This window comes from Homo sapiens, chromosome 2 (assembly GCF_000001405.40).
Source record: "Homo sapiens chromosome 2, GRCh38.p14 Primary Assembly".
NCBI lineage: Eukaryota > Metazoa > Chordata > Mammalia > Primates > Hominidae > Homo > Homo sapiens.
The window spans coordinates 88,040,207-88,064,195 of NC_000002.12; the positions used below are offsets into that span (position 1 = coordinate 88,040,207).

The following is a 23,989-nucleotide window of genomic DNA, read 5'->3' on the forward strand; positions in this document are numbered from 1 at the left end:
GTTACCTTTAATTCCTCTGCCAACTAAGCTCTCATTTTTTATGTTAAATAGCAAAATATTCTCAAGCTCAAAATCTCAGCCATTTTCCTCCTGAGTCATGTCTGTTCTAGCTTTATAATATTTTCAAAGCTATTCTTTCATTTTTCAATACCTATAACATTATTTAGTTCAAGTTCTCCATGCTTTTGGACTTTATTAAACTTTATCACTACTTATTGAGTTTGTCTTCAAGGTACTCTGGTGAGTACTGTGGGAAAGGATAGGAAAAAAGAGATGAACCTTATCGAATGCCTACTGTATGCCAAACAACAGATTATTGTTTCTGTTTTTTACTTTTGCAAGAATTTCTCATAAAGATTAGGATATTGGGATTTAAAGAAATTAAAATATGTTGCCACATGTGCTATTTGATAAAGGCAGATATTAAACCTTGGTTTATCTCAACCCTTTCCCTTACATTACACATAGCTGTTCCACACATTGGGAATAAGTGAACAAGACAATTGTTAATATTGAGGAATTCATAATTTTGTAAAAAATGATATGCAAAGAACTATGATGCAAGACAAAAATGTGTAAAGTGCTGTAAGACATAAGAAGGTATAATGTGTTCTTGGTGAGGGGTTTGTGGTAAAGAATAGATTCTGAATGGACACTTAAGGAGATGGGTAAAATTTAGAGAAAAAAACATGAGTAAAGAAAGGGTATTCTGGAGGACAGAAGGGCATTAGAAAAGGCATTTCTGCTTTAGATAAAACAAGACATGCATAAAGGTAGTGAAAGACAGTGCTAAAGGTGGAATGATGCTAAATCATAATATGCCTTATTTGGACATTTGGATTTAATTCTGCAGTCAATAGGGGAAGAAAAAGAGACTCAAAATGGAGATATTGTTAGGTAGCTGTTGCAGGCAAGAGATTATTGGGCTGCACCAAAAAAGTAGCAGAGCTAACAGAAAGGAAGGGAAGAATATGAGAGATATTCTAAAGGTGGAATCAAAGGAATTTGTGATAGCTGGGAAGAGCAGATAGACGGGAGAGTGGGGGCAGAGACAATTCTAAGGCCTTGATCCTGCGTAAAGTTATCTTTGACAGAGAAAGTAAGGAAGAGGAAGAAGAGTTGTTACTGTTGTTGTTATCCCCCAGAAGGAGAGAAGTAGGGAGTGGAATGAATAAGCATTAAGCATTCAAAAAGCAGTGAATTTGATTTTGGAACAAATCCAGATTCTATCAAATGTATAGTATCTTGCACATCTCTCCTTTCCTGTTCCATTCTTCTATGTGTTTAATACCTCTATGTCAAGTTGGGTTTAAACAACCTGCAGATGTTTTATGTACCTTGAAATTCCTTACAAATTAAAACAGTTGGGTCCCTGAACTAATTGTATATGTATCAAACTTCAGTACACATGATGGGTAACAGGAACCACTAGAGGAAAGAAAGCTCGGTAGTGAACTCTAGGCATTTGTAGAAATCTTTCCTCAGAAAATTTTGACATCACCTCTCTTTCACTTGCATAGTGATTACTATATATTTACTCATTACAAAGGTTGCAGCATTATATAGTTTGAAGAACACAGACTGTGATTGTTGTGGAGTAAAGTGAAATTATCTCTTCCTCTAACCTGGACATTATTTTCATCCTTACCATTTTATTTTAGCATTAGTTATTTTTTAAATAGTCATCATATTATTGGTTTCTAATGACCTTTACAATTGTTAAAATCCTGGAGGTAGCATCTCTCCCCCCCGATATTGGCTATCTTCTCCCATGTGATATGGATGTTGACTGAATTATTTTTCTAAATGCAGGAATTAATACTTCATCTTGTTATGGGTTTAGACCATTATCTTTTTTTTTTTTTTTTTTTCCAGATGTAGTCTCCCTCTGTCCCCCAGACTGGAGTGCAGTGGCACAATCTCAGCTCACTGCAAGCTCCGCCTCCCAGGTTCACGCCATTCTCCTGACTCAGCCTCCTGAGTAGCTGGGACTACAGGCACCTGCCACCACACCCGGCTAATTTTTTGTATTTTTAGTAGAGACAGTGTTTCACTGTGTTAGCCAAGATGGTCTCGATCTCCTGACCTCATGATCCAACCCCCTCGGAATCCCAAAGTCCTGGGATTACAGGCGTGAGCCACTGCACCCGGCCTAGACCACTATTCCTAAATGAGGTTTCTCTTTGTTTCTTTTCTTTGACTGCCCACCCCCACCCCACCTCTCTCTTTCTTTCTTTAAAAAACCAGAGTCCCTGAGGCTGGAGTGCAGAGGCATGATCATAGCTCGCTGCAGCCTTAACTCCCGGGCTCAAGTGATCCTCTCGCCTCAGCCACCAGAATAGCTAGGACTATAGGCATGTGCTAGCATGCCCAGCTAATTTTAAATAATATTTTGTAGAAACAGGAATCTCATTATGTTGCCCAAGCTGGTCTTGATCTCCTGGCCTCAAGCGATCCTCCTCCCTTGGTCTCCCCAAGGCTGAGATTACAGTTGTGAGCCACCGCAGCCACCTGAGAATTTTTTAAAATTCAAATGATCTTAATCTTGGTATTTGCTATGGCTCCCACACATACTTTTTATATGCATTCAGTCTATGACTTCATTCACATTACTGGTGAAAACTTTAAGCAGGATAAGGGCAAGATAATACCTATGGCATGCTACAAAGAATCTACTCTCTTCTTGCATCTAGGATTTATCTATTTATTAGCAATCTATGGGTTTAATTAGAAAGATATTAATAACTTGATAACATCTGAGTTTATTTCAAAATCAAATTCAGCATCTTTTTTAACACTATGCTTCTCCACTCTACTCCCTACTACTCTCCTTCTTACGGGTCTGATCTGTTTGTACTACACTGAAGTCTTATTTTTCCATTTTGTTGATATTTGAAATACAGGAAATGCCCTTCTAAAATTGTAACCATCCTTTCTACAGCAGTGGTTCTCAATCTCAATCATTTTGACCAAAACAATCTATAGGCAGATAGGAGTAAACTCTTGTAGTCAGGAGGTCTAGGGGTTACAGCTTAAAGAGATCAATCACACACACAGCAGAAGTATTTCAAGTTTCATGGTTTACCTTAACAACTCATGAACTTCTTGAACTCTAGTCTTAAAACTTCCATTTCATATAAAAAGTCATTATTTAATCTCTGAATAAATTATGCCAATTAAACTTCAAGTATATTCCTGGCACAATCTTGTATCTCAGAAACCTCAGGGAATCTCATTATGCTCACTAAAGAAATATGGTCCTGCAACATTCTTTTGATTTATTAGTAATCTTTCATAAAAGAAACTAGGCATGGCATGACTTGTGTTTTCAATAAATGCATATTGCCTTTTAATGTTTATTTCAAAGTATCACATTCACAAGCGACCTATTAATAACCTGTCCTGTAACACTTTTACAGCATCGCCCTTACAATGTATTAGGTACTGTTCCAAGCACTTATACATAGTAACTTTTTTATGGAGATGAAGTTTTGCTCTTGCTGCCTAGGCTGGAGTGCAATGGCACCATCTTGGCGCACTGCAATCTCTGCCTCCCGGGTTCAAGCGGTTCTCCTGCCTCAGCCTCCCGAGTAGCTGGGATTACAGGCATGTGCCAGCAAGCCCAGCTAATTTTTTTGTATTTTTTTAAGTAGAGATGGGGCTTCTCCACGTTGGTCAGGCTGCTCTCCAACTCCTGACCTCAGGTGATCCACCCACCTCAGCCTCCCAAAGTGCTGGGATTACAGGCATGAGCCACTGCGCCCGGCCTCACGTTACTAATTTTATCCTCATAAGAACTCTATGGGCTCAGTACAATTACTTTCTATATCTTATAGAAGAGGAAACTGAAGCACAGAAAGGTTAAGGAACATGTCCATGGTTGCAGTTAGTAAATGACAAGGCAGTCTGGCTCCATAATCTGTTACTGACTTGTGGCATGCTGCCTTCCTAACTGATGTAAAACTTCTCAGTCTACATTCTGATATCCATTTCTCCTCCTTAAAAATCTGAAACATTTTCTGATCTCCATGTTTTACATATCTCTCCATTAAAAAAATGGAAACTGGCTGGGCACAGTGGCTAACGCCTGCAGTCTCAGCACTTTAGGGGGACAACGCAGCAGGGATCACTTGAGTCCAGGAGTTCAAGACCAGCCTGGGCAATGTACCAAGACCTTGTCTCTACAAAAGAAAACAAAAAAAAAAAAAAAGAAAAAAGAAAATCAAGCCACAGAATATAGGATAAATATTCTCAACTAACGTATCAGACAAGGGACTTACATCTAGAAGATATAAAGACTTTTTATGACTCAATTATAGGACAAACTCAATTTAAAAAGGGCAAAAGGTCTGAACAGATACTTCAGAAAAGAATATATACTAATGACTAAGTAAATATGAATTAAACCACAATGAGGGGTCTGCTTTTAACTTGGACTAACGTAACTTCTTCATGCAATAAACTGAAAAGAGCCATGCTGTCTAGTAAAAAAATAAAAATAAAAATAAATGAGATACCACTACACTCTCACTAGAATGATTAAAATTAAAGGACTAAGAATAACAAGTGCTGGTAAAGATGTTAAATAACTAGAACTCCCATACATTGCTGGCTAAAATGTCAAATGGTACAATAATTTTACAAAGGAGTTTGATAATTTTTTTTTTTTTTTTTTTTTTGGAGATGGAGTAGCTCATGCTAGAGTGCAGTGGCATGATCATAACTTACTGCAGCCTTGACCTCCTGGGCTCAAATTATCCTTCCATCTCAGCCTCCTGAGTAGATGGACTATGGGTTCATGCCATCATGCCTGGCTAATTTTTTGTACTTTTTTTTTTTGTAGAGATGAGGTTTTGCCATGTTGCCCAGGCTGGTCTCTAACTCCTGGGCTCAAGCAATCTGGCCATCTTGGCCTCCCAAAGTGCTGGGTTTACAGGTGTGAGCCACTGTAAAAAATTATCAGCCACCCAGCTTAATTTTTTATGAAGTTAAATACATAGCTACCATATGACCTAGCCATTCTACAACTGTGTATTTGACATGAAAACATATCCATGCAGATTTGTCTATGAATGTTCACAGCAGCTTTATTTGTAACAGCCAAAACCTGAAACAACTCTAATGTCCATCCACAGCTGAACAGATAAGCAAAATGTGATATATACCCATACAATTATTCAGACATAAAAAGGAACAAAACAGCAACACATGCAACACGGATGAATCTCAAAACCATCACGCTGAGCGAAAGACAGACATGAAAGAGTATCTACTGTATGATTCTATTTATAAAAAGTTCTAGAAATGCAAACTAATCTCTAGTAATAGCAGCAGATCAATGGTTGCCCAGGGATAGAGGTAGAGGGGCGAATGGATTGTAAAGGGGCATAAGTACTTTTGGGGTTGATGGAAATGTTTGACATTTTGCTTATGATAGTGGTTTCATGGGAGCATACACCTATCACAAATTCATTGAATTGTACTTTTTTTTTTTTGAGACAGAGTCTCACTCTGTCGCTCAGGCTGGAGTGTAGTGGTGCAATCTTGGCTCACCGCAACCTCTGCCTCCTGGGTTCAATCAATTTTTGTGTCTAAGCCTCCCGAGTAGCTGGGATTACAGGCATGAGACATCATGCCCAATTTTTGTATTTTTAGTAGAGACAGGGTTTCACCATGTTGGCCAGGCTGGTCTCAAACTCCTGATTTCAGGTGACCCACCCACCTCGGCCTCCCAAAGTGCCAGGATTACAGGCGTGAGCCACCGTGCCCGGCCTGAATTGTACATGTTATATGTGTGGAGTTTATTATAAGTAAAATGTACCTCAATAAAGTAACTAAAGGAGTTTAAACTTTTTTTGGAATAAGAGATAATTCTACCTTAAACTGATTTTGAAATGTTGGCTTTGTTTCCAGAAAGATCATCCACCCAACAAAGGTTAAGTCACTTCAGGCACTACTAAGAACTAGTGACTGTAATACTGTTACTTAGCTCCATTGCTCCTTTGAGTGAAACAGATATAGGAAGCCTGGAATCAGTTCTGCCACTTATTAAGTTATGTAACCCTGGTCAAGCTTCTTAACCTCTCCGCCTTAGGTTCCTTACCTCTAAAATAGAGACATAACATATACCTCAAAAAGTTGTGGTCCTTATAGAAATTAATACATGCAAAGCACTTAGAAGAATGCATGGAACAAGGTAAGTGCTGTATGGATGAACTATTTGTATTGTGGTTCAGGATTTTGTCTATTTAACTGACATAGTGAGATGTTCTCCCAACCAATTAGTCTAGTAACTACAGAAAGACAAATATGGTTACCCATAAACAAGGCAGAAGTATCTGAAAGGAGTACCTAATTCTTTGTATTTCAAGCTAACTGATGTTTTAGAGGGACTGTATTTATGGAAGTTGAAGGATGGACCTGATCCTTACTCTCTTTTCTAATTGCTCTGATTTTGAACCAACTTTCTGTTTGGTTTTTTTGAGACATGGTCTCATTCTGTCACCCAGGTTAGAGTGCAGTGGTGCAATCTCGACTCACAGCAGCCTCAACCTCCCAGGCTCAATTGATCCTCCTGCCTCAGCCTCCCCAGTAGCTGGGACTACAGGCATCTGCCACTAAGCCCAGCTTATTTTTTATATTTTTTTTGCAGACATGAGGTCTTGCTTTGTTGCCCAGGTTGGTCTCGAACCTCTGGGCTGAAGGAATCCACCTGCCTCAGCCTCCCAAAGCAGTGGGACTATGGGCATGAGCCGCCATGCCCAGCCAGGTCTTTATTTCAGTAAAAATATGTAAAACCACTGTGAAAGTTAAAGTAACAAAAACTGCACATCAACTACTGTATTAAATATGAAACACATGACTCATAATTCAAAACTGTCTAAAAAGAGCTTCATATCTTAAATACTAGGAATCATTCTACTTTTCTTAATTCTAGATTTACCAATCTGTTACATTCTACCTACCTTTTAGAAACAGCAAAACCTGAATTTAACTTTTTGAACATGTTTCTCACAAAACGCAACTTGACGCTGAATTATTTATTTATTTATTTATTTAAAGAACAGGGCCTTGCTATGTTGCCTAGGCTGGTCTCAAACTCCTGGGCTCAAGCGATCCTCCTGCCTCGGCCTCCCAAGTGCTGGGATTACAGGCATGAGCCACTGTGCCCTGCCTAATTTAACTCTTGCACCATATGAAATGTTTTTCAGACATCTCATGTTTGATGAATAAATCAACTGAATTTGAATAAAAAATGTAATAAAAATTTTCATGCCTCACAGCGTGACCTGTTGTGATAATGGCATTTAATCATAACAGCATAATAGGTTTGTGTTTTTTTGAGACAGGGTCTCACTGTCTCCCAGGCTAGAGTGCGGTGGCGTGATCTTGGCTCACTGCAGCCTCCGCCTCCCAGGCTCAAGTGATCCTCACACCTCAGCCTCCCGAGTAGCTGGGACTACAGGCACACACCACCACGCCTGGCTAATTGTTTGTATTTTTAGTAGAACCGGGGTTTCACCATGTTGCCCAGGCTGGTATCAAACTCATGAGCTCAAGTGATCTGCCGCCTCGGCCTCTCAAAGTGCTGGGATTACAGGCATGAGCCACCATGTTTGGCCAGCATAATAGGTTTTTAAATGGTTACTAAATATCTTTAATCTTTGAGGAAAAAATTTTATGAGCAAAATTAGGATGCTAATTTGGTTATATTTTAGGTGTCAGTAGCTTACTTCTTCCTCTCTAATAAATACACCAAATTACTGACATGGTCCTAGACTTTTCAATCTAACTCACTAACATATATTAGGAGACATTTTATATCTCTCCATCATTTGCACCTTTTTTTCTGTCAGCAATGTTATGTCATTTTCAGTGTATTTTTTTTTTTTGAGATGGGAGTTTCACTCTTGTTGCGCAGGCTGGGGTGCAGTGGTGGGATCTCGGCTCACAGCAACCTTCACCTCCTGGGTTCAAGCAATTCTCCTGCCTCAGCCTCCTGAGTAGCTGGGATTACAGGCGTGCGCTACCATGGCTGGCTAATTTTGTATTTTTAGTAGAGACAGGGTTTCACCATGTTGGTCAAGCTGGTCTCTAACTCCTGACCTCAAGTGATCCACCTGCCTTGGCCTCCCAAAGTGCTGGGATTACAGGTGTATTGGGCCTGGCCTCAACGTATTTTATTGAAGTTATCTAAAAGTATCTTATGTTTTATGAGAAGGCCTATGAATGCAGTTTTGTTTTTTGATATAACAGTAAATAGTATTTTTAAAAAAATGTTTCTAATAGCTTTTTGCTGGCATTTAGAAATACTATTGATTACATATATAGAACTTGTACTTTACTCCCCTGCTGAACTCACTATTCTAGTTGCCTTTTCCTAGATTCTATGGGGCTTTTTACATAGATGATCATATACTCTGCAAATAAAGACAGTATTATTTCTTGCCAATCTGTAAACCTTTTATTTTTCTTGCCTGAATGTACTGGCTAGGCGCTCTAGTACAATAATGAATAGAAGCGGTGAGAATGGACATCCTTGTTTTATGCCTGCTCTTAGGGAGTTCTGTAATCCAATACTATCTTAATCTTAGTAAAGACCACGCAGAGCACAGCACTAAATTTTGGGAGACTAGGCAACTGATTCTGTTATCTTTGCCAAAACATGTTGTTTGATTCCTTTTTTCCCCAGAGGTCAAATCCTATTTAAAGTGTTTTCAGAGAACTTAATTGGGGTAACAATGCAGCCCAATACCTGTCAACAGCATGAATACTCTTTGCTATAATATAATGCTCATTGTTAATCTTGCTTTTTCAGGAAATGAGACTAGTGTCTGATCTACAGTTTGCCATGTTCTAGCTACTTTACATTAATACAACAATTACAAAAATAACTAAGGGTTTATTATGGCATATTCCCAATGACAAAATACAAATGAAGTAACAAAGTCATTAATTGGGAGTACATGTTTAGTATCAAATTTATCTTTTTATTTAAAGTAAGTCTTTGAATGCCAATAATCATAAGTACTCTATGGCTAGCTACCTCAGGGATCATGCTTGTGAAGTTAGTTTTACTTGGATCCAAGGCAGATATCCTACATCAAAGAACATCAAACATGCGCCATTCCTTCTAATGGGTTAGTTAATGTGAATGGGTTTGTAAGAAGGGGGAAGCGTATCAATGCTTACGTCCTTGGGAAGCTGAAGTAGGTGGATCGTTTGAGTCCAGAGTTCCAGACCAGCCTAGGCAACATGGTGAAACCCCGTCTCTACTAAAAATACAAAAAAACTAGCTGGGCATGGTGGCATGTGCCCATAGTCCCACCTACTTAGGAGGCTGAGGTGGGAGAATCACCTGAGCCTGGGGAAGTCGAGGCTGCAGTGAGCTGAAATTGTGCCTCTGCACTCCAGCCTGGGCAATCGGAGTGAGACCCTGTCTCAAAAGAAAAACAAAAACAAACAAAAACTGAGATCAACACTTCTGTCCTAACATATGTGGTGAATGTAGTAGGGGCAATTCTTAGTCATTTTAACATGCTTAGTTAATATTTTCACTTACTGACACCTAATAAAGGCAGCAAGTCTGAAACTAACAAATAATCATTAATGTTTCTCCAGACACACTCTAATCATTCTTCCAGGCTGCCAACTTCAGATCTACATTAACATAATGTGCTCTGGTGTGCCTGTAACAAACATGTCATGTGCAGAGCACATATTTATGCAAAACAATGAACTACTCCTGATATCTCAGGAGTCTGACTAATCCATATTTAAAACTACATTTTCTCCAATTGCTCTTTATTTTTCTCCCTAATTTCATTAATAAATACAACTATTGAGCTCTTTAAAAGGGCTGGCCTAATTCATCTGTATACCCTTAGTACCAAGTATAATATCTGGCACATAACAGGAACTCAAAAATGTTTTCTGAATAAACTTAAGAAGGGTTATTAGCTAGATTTTCTTTATGTTGTTTAACTTGAGTCTCCGCTTAATATCATGGAAACAAACGAAAATATTTTTAGGCAATTACTATGTAAATGAGTTAATTACTCAATAAGTAGCCAGAAATGTCCTTCACTCCAAAACCGAGTCAATTTTTTTTCTTTTTCTTAAAAACAGGTAGAGCTGGGTGCGGTGGTTCACACCTGTAATCCCAGCACTTCAGGAGGCTGAGGTAGGCAGATCACTTGAAGTCAGGAGTCCAAAACCAGCCCAGCCAACACGGTGAAATCCTGTCTCTACTAATAAAACACAAAAATTAGCTGGGCATGGTGGTGCATGCCTGTAATCCCAGCTACGTGGGAGGCAGAGGCAAGAGAATCACTTGAACCAGGGAGGGAGAGGTTGCAGTGAGCCAAGATTGTACCACTGCACTCTAGCCTGGATGACAGAGACTCCGTCTCAAAAAATAAATAAATAAAAAATAAAAACAGGTAGATAACCAAGAATTTTTGTTGTAGTTTTGTTTTTACTATGATTACTCAGGAATACCATTATTTAGTGAAACTTTTTTTAACTGTCAAAAGTGTTTGAGAAACTTCACCAAATAAATTACAAAGTGTCCTGGAAAATCTTGACACCACAATAATAAATTCTAAGTATGTCTATTTCTTTTAACTATGGAAACATGGTGTTTCTTTGGATTTTTGTGATTAATTTTTTCCATTTCCTATTTGTAACCTTATGCCTTCTATATCTTCCTTACTTGCTTTTTTTTTTTTTTTTTGAGACAGGGTCTTGCTCTGTCACCCAGGCTGAAGTGTAGTGGTGTGATCACAGCTCACCGTAGCCTCGACCTCCTGGATTCAAGCAGTCCTCCTACCTCAGCCTCCCAAGTAGCTGGGACTACAAGCATGCGGGGCCATGCCTGGCTAATTTTTATTTTTTTTTTTTGTAGACAGGGTCTCACTATTTTGCCCAAGCTGATTTCAAACTCCTGGGCTCAAGCAATCCTCTGGCCTTGACCTCTCAAAGTGTTGGGATCACAGGCGTAAACCACCATGAACAACCTTTGCCAATTTTTAATCCTTACTGATATTTGCTCTTTATCCAGACCAATACAGAGGAGTTCCTCAGAAGGATCGGTATAGGTGAAAATGGATTAGCAGATGCTCTTCAAATCAGTTTTAATGGTCCTATCGGAATTTTGAAAGTCAGAGTAGAATTTTAATAACTGGAAACATGACAATTCTTTGATACCTTTGGAGGAATCTGCTAACAAAGTCTTAAAAAAATTCTAGCTAAGTGCAAGCAACCTTTTTTCCATTGGCAATTAACTCTTATACATACCTAAAATAAAAATATATTGAGTCCTAGCCATGTTTTAGATAGTGTGACATATCAAATATTTGCCAATTGTCAAGTGGCAGTAACTGAAATTTTAATGAAAGATATTTACCGGAAGTAAAGTGACAATAGGTAATTTTTTAGGTAACAATTATATTGTTTTTGAAATTCTAGTGAATAGTCTCAACCTTAACAGAGATTACTCTGAATGTCATCTGAGATTACTTTTTGAATGTCAGCCATTATAGGTCAAAGTTTCATATGCTTTATGAATTACAATTTTAGTACCCAGCCATGTCAAGCCATGGAAAGAATACCAACACAGATGTGTTAAATCAGTTCACAATTTTAAAGCTGTAAAAGAACTGAGTTTGGTTGGTGCAGGGTTCTTCAACCTCGACACTTCTGGCATTATGAGTAGGATAATCCATTGCTGTGTGAGTGTGGGAACTGTCTTGTGTATTTTAGGATATTTGTGGCATCTCTGGCCTATGCCAAGTAGGTGCTGGTAGCACCTGCACTTGCTCACCATGTTCCTCGTGGGTTTAGAAGATAATCCCAAATGTTGAAATCCCAAAAGGCCAAAATCCCAATTGCAGGATAGCTGCATGTTAGGGCAGCTTTCATGGACTATCTCTGTGCAACTGCCCATAATCTATTCCTGTAATACATTTTCTCATTTGCCAAATTATTTTTTTCCACTATCTTAAACTGTCAGACTTTTTTTTAAAAAAATAATTCACCATGCTATGTATTTCATCTTTGCATCATGTCCAATACTGGAAGTGTAAACTGCAGAGACTGAGAGTTCTAATTTGTCTTATGCATTTTTTGCAAATTTGACTTCATGAAAGTACATTATCAGAACACTGACTTTGTGTGTAAGCACTGTGCATGTACCTAAAAACGCTGAAACTTCCTCAATAAATGAAGAGATAAGAAATGTCTTTTGCATATCTGCATTTGTGAAAGATAAAAATTTCTTGAGGTTTCACCCCTTTGGGCAACTGCATAAGTGAATAGTGAGTGACCCATTATAGTTTAATTTCTTGAGGTTTCAGCCCTTTGGGCAACTGCGTAAGTGAATAGTGAGTGACCCATTATAGTTTTTGATCTATCTCATCAAAAGACTTGTCACAGTATTTCAGATGACCAGTTATAAAGCTAGGTGCACACGACTACCAACCATCGTGACATGCTTTTATACATTTCCCTTTTTGATCTACTTCTTCATGAATACAGTTCATCTGCTCATAACTGTTACATGCATGTTGTGACTGTTAGTATACTTGTGTCTGCAAAATGTTACTATTGCCTTTCATTGCGTGAAATGACCTACAAAGTGTTGTCATGTTTTTGTTTCTTAAATAAATCCCCCTTTAAAAATGTAAACAAACATATTTTAAAGAAGTAAAAAAAGTACTTTTCCCACATTTATTATTTTCAACATTTTAGTCTTTTGTGACTGTGATTTTGAGGATTTTAGACTTTAGGGATTTTCATCTTTCAGGATTTCAACATTCAGGATTCTGTCTCTTGGAATTATGATTGGCTCTTCTCCCTCTCTGCTCAATGATGACAACCTAAAATATCTCCGCATTATCAGAGGTCTTCTCGGGGGTACGATCATTCCTAGATGAGAGTCACTGGGCTAGTCCAATTCCCCCACCGACAGATGACCAAACTCAAATCCAGAAAGTGTGGGACTTACTCAGGGTCATTTAGCTGTAGGAGAAACTAGCACTAGAACCTATAACTAGTCAGACTCCTATTCCAGTATTCTCATTTTACCACCCTGAAGTGGAATAGAAAGGTTACTGCTAGTACTGTGTGAACTGACATCTTTTAAAGTCTTTTGCACATATTTAAAGTCATTGCAAAATCAAAAACAAAAACACATGCTGAGTCTGCCAAAAAGCTTTTTTCCACGACAAGTTGTTTCCAAATCTTCCTGTGGTCTGGCCATGTGAGCCAAACTGAATTGTAGTCTTTTAACTGCTCAGGCTTATTTATTAGTGAGAGGCAGGAAATGTGTTATAAAAGCAAAATAATCCAGGCTGACTGAAGACACTAAATCTAGTCTTCCAAAACTGCCTTCACTAAGAGAACTTAATAGTCTCATCATTTGGTTGCAATGACTAATCCCCATTTTTAGTGAACAGAAAAAGTGCTTACAAAAATGTTTTAAGAAATCTGCAGTATTTTACTCCTCCGCCAGTTCTCCAAAGTCAATAGACACAAAGTCAATTGTGTAAAATATTATGGGATAACACACAAAATACAATATCTCATCATGAAAAAGGATAAAGAAGAAATCAGTATTTTTATGGGGTTATATTTATAGGTGTCTCTCTTGGAAAAAGGAATCTAAATTATTCTACAATATTCTGGCTCCCATCATCTTTCACTCTGAAGACAAAAAGCAACATAAGGCAACACAGCAAACACTAAAAAATTTGATACTGAACATGGCTGAATGTTTTACTTAGGTCTTCTGCAGTGGGATCAAGCACTATCAACTAAAATCATTCCCAAAACTGCTTTAAGCCTTATCTCATGATTTGCAACCAGCAGGCTGTTTGCAGACATATAGAACTATTATAGTAAGAACTCAAACATCTCTTAGATTAAGATGGATAAGAAATAGCATTTTGTGTTAGGGGCAATGTGTTGGAGAACTGCAAAAGCTCTCCCCATCCTTGGAGAGTCGACCAAAATTTAACATGGCCTCTAGAAGCCTAAGCCCACGTCCATGAGGGCAATCCAGCCCTCTTTTGAGCTCCTGTTGGAAAAGCCAGGCTGTCAAAAAAATTTTTACTGTTTGTTCTAGCCAACACCTAATAACAGCTCCCTGACTTCCCTTTTAAAAGGCATTTACTAAAAAGGGCTCACAACTACGAATCCTCCTCTGTTCCTTTGAGATGTGTTTGTACCTCTTACAACTCAGGAGTGTCTTTCTCAAGGACCTGAAAGCCATCGCTCTGAAATGTAACCAGGAAGGACTGGGCCTGACTCCCAGTCTCTGTGGGAGGATAGTATTTTATCTTAGATAATTCCCAGATAGGAGACACAGCTGGCCTACTTGCGTTTTTACAATGATCAGCACTTTGTAATTTTTCACCTCCCTGACTCTACTTGAGCCCTCTCTTCCCACTCCCTACTCCCTTCATCTCCCTTTAAAACTCGCAGTCATCTCGGTGAAAATAGGAATGGAGCTCAGTCTTTCCCCTCTGTCAGGAGTTGCGGAATAAAATCCTTTTTCAACGCTTTAACGTCCAGCTTCGTGTATCTCTGACATTGGTAGGTACATATTAAAACTCAGCTGGGCGCGGTAGCTCGCGCCCGTAGTCCCAGCTACTCCGGAGGCTGAGGCAGAAGGATCGCTTAAGCCCAGGAGCTGGAGGCTGCAGCGAGCTATGATCGCGCCACTGCACTCCAGCCTGGGCACAGCGAGACCTCCGTCTCTAAATTAGAGGATTAAAAGCACACACACATAAAACCCCAGATCACTATCAAGACGGGCCTATAAATCTTAGAAGCTTGTCTTATAGGGCCATATCCTCAAAAGCCTAGGATAACTCCAAAGTGATCCCCCCCTAAACCTCATCCCCTCTTCTCTTCCCCCAAGGGCCCCGCTACTTCCTGCTTTCCCCGATTCCTAAATCCACCTCTCCCTAAGCGTCCTACGTCAAAGTCTCTACTTTCCAGGATGCTGAACTTCACCAAACGGAAGCTTACTCTCTTCCACGTTTGGGCTTTTCTCTATTTATCCCTGTCCCCTCAATTTTCGAGTTTCCTCACCCCACTTCCCTTTCCCTGACGCTCCGGGTCTAGATTTCCTCCGGGTCTAGATTTCCTCTTGGTCGCCCCTAGTTTCCCACTCCGACCTCGGCTTCCTCCGCAAGCCGAGCGCCCCTTCCCTCCGCACTCCACTCGGAAGCCCTGGCGTCTCTTTCCGGGGGCGGCGGCCGGTGAGGGGTGCGCGGGACTCGGGCCGCGCCCTGGTCGGCCATTTCGCACACTCGGGGCGCGCCCGGCGGGCTGGGCGCGCGAGGCCTGTCCTGGAGCGCAGGAGTTGAGGGGCTGAAGACCGGGCCGCCCCCGCCGCCGGGGCGGGAACTCACCTTCTCTGAGGCAGGGGCGGGCGTCTACAACTACTGTCCCCCGCCCCGCCAACGCCGCCAGCCAGGGGATAAGCCGCGGTGGAGGTGGCGGAGAGGCAGGAACAACCGCTGCCGCCACCGCCGCCTCCGCCGCCGAGCAGGCTGGATGGGAGGAGGAGGCGGAGACCCGGCTTCCTGAGGGGAAGTCGCCGCCACTACCGGCTTATGACTGGACAGCACAGACGCCATGGCGGCGAGACGCGCTACTGCGCTTGCGCGGCCAGCCCAGCGCCCAGGAAGCCTCTTGAGCCCCGCCTTGCTGCTTGCTTCGCCCGCTTGGCCTGGCAGTTCCCGGCGCGGCTCTAATGTCTTGCTGGCGCGACTGGTTTTGATCCTGTCCGTCTGCCCTCCTTTTTGGGGCAAGGAAAAGTTCGTGGGGGTCGCTCGCTCGCCTTGGGAGAATGAATATAAAGCCAACTGATTAAAAAAAAAAAAACTGGAAATTTACAGTTCCACCCTCAAAGTATCTCAAAAATACATGATCTGTTGCCTTATCAACAGAACCTACAATATAGGTTCGTGTAACAAATGCGCAGTAAGCCAAACACCGACATATTCAGTGCTTAGGAGCGGGGGAAGGTTTATTCCGTTTGGCCAAAGCGAGAGAGCGGGAGAAGAAGTCTCTCAAATACTGACATGCCTTAGAACGTAACTGGGGGGCCTTTATGAGTAAGGTAAGAATACAGAGGGTGGGATCCCCCATGATCAAAGCTGTTTCCTCCCTGGGACTCTAGGTCTCATCTGCCCCATTAGATGATGCCCCATCTGGACCATCAAGGAGGTCTGCGTGACCTAAGGGTCATGGTTGTTTTGTTTGTGATAGGGTCTCGCGTTGTCGCCCAGGCTGGAGTGCAGTGGTGGGATCACCACTCACTGCAGCCTCGACCTCCCAGGCTCAAGCGATCCTCTCACCTCAGCCTCCCAAGTAGCTGGGACCGCAGGCATGCACACATGCCCGGGTGATTTTTGTTCATTTTTTATAGAGATTGGGCAGGGGGTGGGGATGTCTCACTATGTTGCCCAGGCTGGTCTTGAACTTCTGGGCTCAAGTGATCCACTAACCTCGGCCTCCCAAAGTGCTGGGATTACAGGCGTGAGCCACCGTGCCAGGTCCATTGTTCTTTAAAAGAAAAACAAGTTCATCAATCTTGCCTGCACTCTGGGGTTAGGATATGAAGTTAATCAATCACTAGTGACTACCCTCTACTGAAATGACTACGTGCAAGCAAGCATGCATGGAGGAAGAAAAAGACAAAGAAAAGGAATATAAGTAAAACAAAACATTTTATGATCTTTACAATAAAGCCTCAGTTATAATCTTTCCTTTATTATGCCCTAAATACACAGAGTAGATTAAGCACAATCCTTTGTCATCATACGTCGTCATCATTGGTCCATAAATGACCTTTTTCTCTCTCTCCCTGTTGCTCTTTCAGCATGTACATCTATAATATACATTATACACACAAATATGTATGTATGTGTATATCTCATCATCTCATCCCCTGTTTCCCAAAGAAATCACTAACCTGGTTTGTATTCATCATTTCCTTTCTCTATTTATTATCACACATAGGCATGGCTAAAACACATTTAGATTGTTTTTAAACGTTATAAGATTTACACCTTTATGCAGTACGCTGGGACTCGTTTGTTTCACTTAATATTTTGAATTTCGTCTAAGCTGTTGAAGACAGCTGTAATTTGTTCATTTCACTGCTGGACACGACTCCACTGATTTTCCTGTTGATGGGCACGTCTCCTGGTATACTGTGGAAGAGTTTATTTTGGGTATTCTCTACTTTCCTGTCACATTGCCGTTGCCTTATTTCAGATTCTCATCAACTCTTGCTAGAAACGTGCTAAGATCTCCCTCTGACTTCAACTGCTCCAGTCTACTCTCCATATTGCTGCCAAAGGGTTCTCTCTAAAAGTCATTACTGGCTCCCCAGTGTCTGTTGGAAAAGGTCAAACTGAGTACTATGAGGTTTCTGTGCACCTCCCTGATCTCATTATCTTTCCACTGCCCTTACCTCCCCACCCTGCTATTACTTGTGATTCAGCAACATTAAACCTATACTGATTCCTGTAAATACCACACTATTGCAAAACTCAACTCACAGTACTGTATACGCTTCTCCCTCTTTCTGGAATGCCCTCTTCTCCACTTCCTCACGAATTTCTCTTTCCCTCAGAAATAAATACTATTCTAAATTCAGCATTTTTCATTTCCATGTATTTCTTTATAATTTTACTACATATGTATGTACCCCTAAGTAACATGAAATATTGCATTGCATGGTTTAGAACTTTACGTAAGTGTTATTATACATACTGTTTATTCATCTGCAATGTTTTTTACATGGCCTTTTTTATATTAACTCATGCTGATATGTGAGGTTCTCATTCACTTTCACCGTTCAATAATATTCCATTTTATGAATGCACCACTACTTACCCTTTCTCCTACACGTTTTCGGTAGACACTGAGTTTGTTTCCTATTTTTGCTCCTCCAGTTGGTGCTGCTTTAACCTTCTTGTGCAGTCTCCTTGTGCGTGTGGATCAAAGTTTTTCCAGGTTTTATACTTTGGAGATGTTTTTCACAAGGAGGCCTCAGACATATTTCTTACTTCTCTGAACCTCCATTTTTTTCATCTTCAAAATGGCCACAATATCCACCTCAAAGGGTGCCATGAAACTTGTGGTAACGTAAGCAAAGAACAATGTCACACATTCGAAGAGATGTTGCTGTTAGAATAGCTTTCAAATGTATATGAAACACTGGGACATAAAATGCAGTAGTCTGGTGCCAGATGGTAAAGAGAAGTATACTACTTATGCATCTGTAGCTCCCGCAGTAGCCTCCCAATTGCAGTTGTTGCACCTGTCACGCTGTTTCTTGGCCTTCATGTCTCTGCACATGCTGCCATGTCCTTGGGTCTGAAGTGATCTCCTCTGGTTCTGAGATTCTGGTCACCCTCCCTACTTCTCTTGTCTGTCTCTTCTCCGAAGCTTTCGTTGGTTCCTCAGAGCCCTGGATACCCTTCCCCTTAGCCTCCTATCTCTCACCACCCTTACATGCTCTTCCATAATCCCCTTTAAAGGTCAATGTCTTGAAGACAGGGCCTACATTTTACACATCTTTATTTTATTTTATTTTATTATTTTTTGAGACAGAGTGTTGCTCTGTTGCCAGGATGGAGTTCAGTGGCGTGATCTCGGCTCACTGCAACCTCTGACTTCCTGGTTCAAGTGATTATCCTGCCTCAGCCTCCTGAGTAGCTGGGATTACAGGCACGTGCCACCATGCCCAGTTAATTTTTGTATTTTTAGTAGAGACAGGGTTTCACCATGTTGGCCAGGATCATCTCGATCTCCTGACCTTGTGATCCGCCCGCCTCGGCCTCCCAAAGTCCTGGGATTACAGACATGAGCCACCGCGCCTATTTTACTTTATTTTTTGAGAGAGGGTCTTGCTCTGTCACCCAGGCTGGAGTGCAGGAGTATGATCGTGGCTAACTGCAGCCTTCTCCTGGGCTCAAGTCATCCCCCAGCCTCAGCCTCCTGAGTAGCTGGGGCTACAGGTGTGCTCCACCACACCCAGCTAATTTTTGTATTTTTTGTAGAGACGGGGCTCTCAGTATGTGGACAAGGCTGGTCTCGAACTCCTGGACTAAAGTGATCCTCCTGCCTTGGCTTCTCAAAATGGTAGGATTACAGGTGTGAGCCACCATGCCCAGCCTTACTCATCTTTATATCTGGGGCAGTGGGCACGGTGCCTGATACACGGGCTGATAAATGCATGCAGGATGAGTGAATTTAGGAATTCTTGGGAGGAAAGGATTGCACAACTAAGGATTTCTTGGAGCCAGAGGGAGAAAGAGGGAAGCAAGCATGCTTTTTTAGTAAGAACACATGGACTAGAGAGTGTGAAGTTTTGTCAAGGATGCAATTATGCAGGATATCATGGATAATCAAGGAGGACACCTGTTCCTGTCACCCTGGAATGTGAATGGTAGTTGTGCACAAGAACTTCTTCCTTGATCAGGTCCCTCACACAGTGTATGAAATGAATGAATGAATCAGTCAGTGAATGTACTTGAAAGCAGTGAGCTTCTCCCCAACTCTGGGCCTATGTGACATTGCCAGGTATTAAGCTATTATTAATCTAAGCATGGGTTGGCAAACGTTTTGTATAAAAGGTCAGATAGTAAATATTTTCAGCTTTGTGGGCCATATGTTCTCTGTTGCAATTATCCAACTCTGCTGTTGCACTGTGAAAGGAGCCATAGAAAATACGCAAAAAAAATGAGTGCAGCTGTTTTCTAATACACTTTTATTTATGGTCACTGAAATCTGAATTTCATGTAATTTTCATGTGTCACAAAATAGTTTGTTTTTTTTTTTTTCTGAAGTAGGATCTCACTCTGTCACCCAGGCTTAGTGCAGTGGCACAATTTCGTCTCACTGCAGCCTTGACCTCTGGGGCTCAAGTGATCTTTCCACATCAGCCTCCCGAGTAGCTGAGACTACAGTCGTGCAACAACTTGCCTGGATAATTTTGTTTATTTTTTATAGAGATTAGGTCTCACTATGCTGCCCAGGCTGGTCTCAAACTCCTGGGCTCAAGCTATCCTCTTGCTTTGTCCTCCTGAAGTGTTGGTATTACAGGCATGAGCCACGGCACCTGGCCAAAATAGTCTTTTGATTTTTTTCCCAACCATTAAAGAAGGTACAAACCATTCTTAGTTTGGAGGTTAAGGAACCTTGACCTTGGTCTAATTGAACCTTAGCTCTGGGTACAAAGGAGGTCAAATCCAGGGATAAGGGCTGTCCTTTAACTAAAGTAGTCTTCAGATATAAAATCTTGCAGCTCCTTTGATCTGCCACTAGATGGTGATCATTGCAGGTGTGTGGCTCAGCCAGTGGGTCTTTCAAAGAGATGACTGGAGCTCTTCCAGGTATGATAGATAGATTAACAGCTACAGTATTAATACAGACACACAAGCTGTCCCAATGATTCAAGACGTATCACAAACCACATGGATTTGATTGCTATCTACACTCTTTCACACTTATTTGTACATATTCCCTGAATTGCAACATACAGGGGAAATGTACTCACTCTCTCAAGGCCTCTGAGGTTATTAGCTCAAAGGCTCAGAGCAGTAGTACAAACACAGACTACAGTTAAAGATTTGGGGGCTGCAAAGTGGCATCTGGGAACAGATTCTACCTATGATGCAATTTAACAAGTAGAGCCCCTTCTTACATTAAGAGGATACTTGAAGCCATGCCTAGCCTTTTGATGATACACTGATAACTCTCCCAAAACAGCCCCTACTCCTGGCCTCATCATGTCCCTTTCTTCTACCTTTGAGCTACCTTTGATTAGGGACCCAGCATGACCCTTGCTTCGTAAATCCTGCATCAATTGCCTCTCACATTCTTTAGGGTGAGGGAATGCTGGGTATCCATAGGAATGTTCTTGGCTTGTGTGTGTATGTGTGTGTTGGGGAGGGGTTGTGTATGTGTGTGTGTATGTGTGTGTTGGGGAGTTCAGCTGAAATAGAGACAGAGCGATGGCCTGGACATCTTGTTCCTTAGTGGTAATTTTTGTCATCCCCTTGTCTGAAATCTCCCAGCTCAGCCTCTTTCCTGGACCAGGAGCTCTTTGGCTTGAGCTATTTCATTCTTCTCCCTTTCTCACTACCCTTCTTTATTCAGATACAAAAAAAGAAGGTGCCTGGATGCTTACTAAAACCACTAACAATGGAAAAATTGACATCTTCCTGGAGTGGAGAAGGGCTTATCTACAGAAACATGACTGTGAAGGTCTGTGAAGCTCAAGTCTACGATCCTAATCACTATATCACATGGTCACACAGTTATGTCCACCCTGGCCCCTAGATTGATCTCTTAGGAGATGCAGAATGGATCTACTTTTTCCGTATTTCAAGATGTAAGACATCAACAATGGCTGTCATGTGTTTCCTGAATTTTTTTTTTCTCCGAGATGGAGTTTTGCTCTTTTGTCCAGGCTGGAGTGAAGTGGTGTGATCTCGACTCACTGCAACCTCTGTCCTCCACCCCGGGTTCAAGTGATTCTCCTGCCTCAGTCTCCCTAGTAGCTGGCATTATAGGTGCCCACCACCATGCCCAGCTAATTTTTGTGTTTTTAGTAGAGACACGGTTTCGCCATGTTGGCCAGGCTGGTCTGGAACTTCTGACCTCGGGTGATCCACCTGCTTTGGCCTCCCAAAGTGCTAGGATTACAGGCATGAGAGCCACCGTGCCCGGCCTGCTTCCTTAATCTTTTCTTCTCTGCCCAGTCATCTCCAATAGGTCAATAATGAAGCAGCCTAATTGTCTGGGGTGACATCTGAGGTTTGTTGTCTCACAGCCATGGAGATTAAGAATGTGGACACACAAAGAGTGAGGTTAACAGCAAAAATTCAACAGGCAAAATAAAGAGAATAGCTTTCTGCTACAGAGAGGGGTCCCAGAAAAATGGGTTGTTGATCCACGCTGAAATGAAGAGGGTTTTATAGACGAGCTAGTGGGGAGGTGGTGTCTGATCTACATAGGATGTGAAAAATGGGTTAGGACCAGGTGTGTCATCTGCACAGGGCTCGAATCTCTGACAGCCCCCACCCCAATCTTTTATTATGCAGGTGGGTTTTCTACCTGAGCTTCTCTTTGTGGCCCATTTCTTTTTTACTGTACACATGCTAACAAAAAAGGGAAGGCAGAGCCCCATGTTCGACATGCCTGGCCCCCAGGTAGCCCTTTTCTATTGGTGCAGCTGCCAGCATCCCCTGTGCAAGCTTCCAGCTTCCTTATCTATGTTTGCAGTTCGGTCTTCCAGGCTGTTCTTTGCTAGAAGGAAATGATTTCTAGGGCTGCTTTTTGTTAGAAGGGAAGTTCTGCTGCGCACTCTTTTGCCCTCACTCTCTGCCTAAACAGTTTTTTTTTTTTTTTTTTTTTTTTGAGACAGAGTTTTGCTCTGTCACCCAGGCTGGAGTGCAGTGGCATGATCTCGGCTCACTGCAACCTCCACCTCCCAGGTTCAAGTGATTCTCATGCCTCAGCTTCCCTAGTAGCTGGGATTACAGGCATGCACCACCACTCCTGGCTAGTTTTTGTATTTTTAGTAGAGACGGGGTTTTACCATGTTGGCCAAGCTGATCTCGAACTGCTGACTTCAAGTGATCCACCCACCTTGGCCTCCCAAAGTGCTGGGGTTACAGGTGTGAGCCACTGTGCCCGGCCTAAATAATTTTTCTATCTCCTGTATCAATAAGAAATCTTTTCAAAACTCTAGATGTGCTTTTTCTCAAGACAAAGACCAGTAGTTCTCAATGGAGGCAAATCTACTACATAGGAAGCATTTTAGAAATGTGGGAAGAACTTTTGTTTGTCACAATGATTGCAGGATGCTACAGGCATATTCTCGGCAGCACCAAAGTCATCAAAAAAGGGTTGGATTTCAGTAGGGGGAAAAACAAACTGGGAAGGGCTGCAGCACAGGCAGATGGGCAAAAAACTTTTACATAGGATTGATGTTGATACGTGACATATGAAGGCCTTATGCCCCCTTCCCCACCAACAGTCTGGGAACTACTGTCAACTCTGTGTCCTTAATCCTGGCCAGAGATGCTAGATCCCCTGAGAAGCAGGGGACAGCCTGGTACAATGAAGACTCTCTGCCCACCCCGCACAGCCTCAAATATCTGTATGTGCTCTTCAGGTAGGCAAAAAGCCAGTTTATGATTGTCTGAGTCTGGAAATCCATTTTGTAAGTAATCGTAAAGTAGTTTTTGTAAAGTTTTAATATATGCTGAATTTTCCAGCAATGCAACTTCTTGTTAACCAAAGAAAGATCAAACTTTATTTTGTTTAGAACTCCCCTAAGAGTCGCTCACCATTTCAGAAAATTATGGTCACAGGCAACAATATGGTATTTGTGTCCTCAAAATCAATCTGCATTTTTGTTCTCACTATCATAGTGATTCCACTTAGAGGTACAAACATCTAGCCATTTTATCTCATCTTCTAATATAGTTGTACCCAAGCATATGCATAGTGAGCACATTTACACATTTAATTTACAATAAATAGATATTACTACAAATTAACTTTGATTTTCTTTCACCTTTGTTAGATTAGACTAGTCATTTTTCTTAGGTATAAGAACGAATAAATTATATTATGTAAGAATTTCACTTTAAAGTAACAAAAAGCATGTTACATAATATTTACTATAATGAGACTAATATAGTAAATATTTACTATATTTACTATTGCTGCTGTGACAAAATATGACAAATTTAGAGACTTTAAAGAACATAAATTTATTATCTTACAGTTCTGGTGGTCAGAAGCCAGAAATGGACTTTACATGGCTGAAATCAAGGTCCGCAGGGCTGTGTTCCCTCTGGAGGTTCTAGGGTAAGAATCTGTTCCCTGGCCTTTTCCAGTTTCTTGGCTCATGGCCGCTTCTTCCATCTTTAAAGTCAGCAACACAGCC

The 23,989-nt window shown here is 41.3% G+C and overlaps 1 protein-coding gene across 3 annotated transcripts in view, besides 3 other annotated features; it reads right to left on the bottom strand.

The window, feature by feature from the left end:
* Positions 1-15,577, bottom strand: part of KRCC1 (lysine rich coiled-coil 1) — a 28,579-nt gene extending 13,002 nt beyond the window's left edge. For 2 of the 3 annotated variants that reach the window (NM_001304526.2, NM_016618.3), the window contains exon 1: positions 15,420-15,577. The gene's annotated coding sequence lies outside the window, so the exon portion shown is untranslated. Of the gene's footprint in view, positions 1-15,096; positions 15,305-15,419 lie in introns of those variants that run through there. The other variant, XM_017004292.3, reaches the window with a different exon arrangement.
* Positions 15,275-15,554: a silencer, noted in NCBI's record as "silent region_11727". NCBI's record gives its function as "represses an Ori minimal core promoter by ATAC-STARR-seq in GM12878 lymphoblastoid cells {active_cell/tissue: GM12878}" and the evidence as "EXISTENCE:reporter gene assay evidence [ECO:0000049][PMID:35858748]".
* Positions 15,725-15,904: an enhancer, noted in NCBI's record as "active region_16167". NCBI's record gives its function as "activates an Ori minimal core promoter by ATAC-STARR-seq in GM12878 lymphoblastoid cells {active_cell/tissue: GM12878}" and the evidence as "EXISTENCE:reporter gene assay evidence [ECO:0000049][PMID:35858748]".
* Positions 17,287-17,652: a transcriptional cis regulatory region, noted in NCBI's record as "candidate enhancer chr2.3248 targeted for multiplex CRISPR interference". NCBI's record gives its function as "positively regulates KRCC1 gene expression with high confidence in K562 cells {active_cell/tissue: K562}" and the evidence as "EXISTENCE:mutant phenotype evidence [ECO:0000015][PMID:30612741]".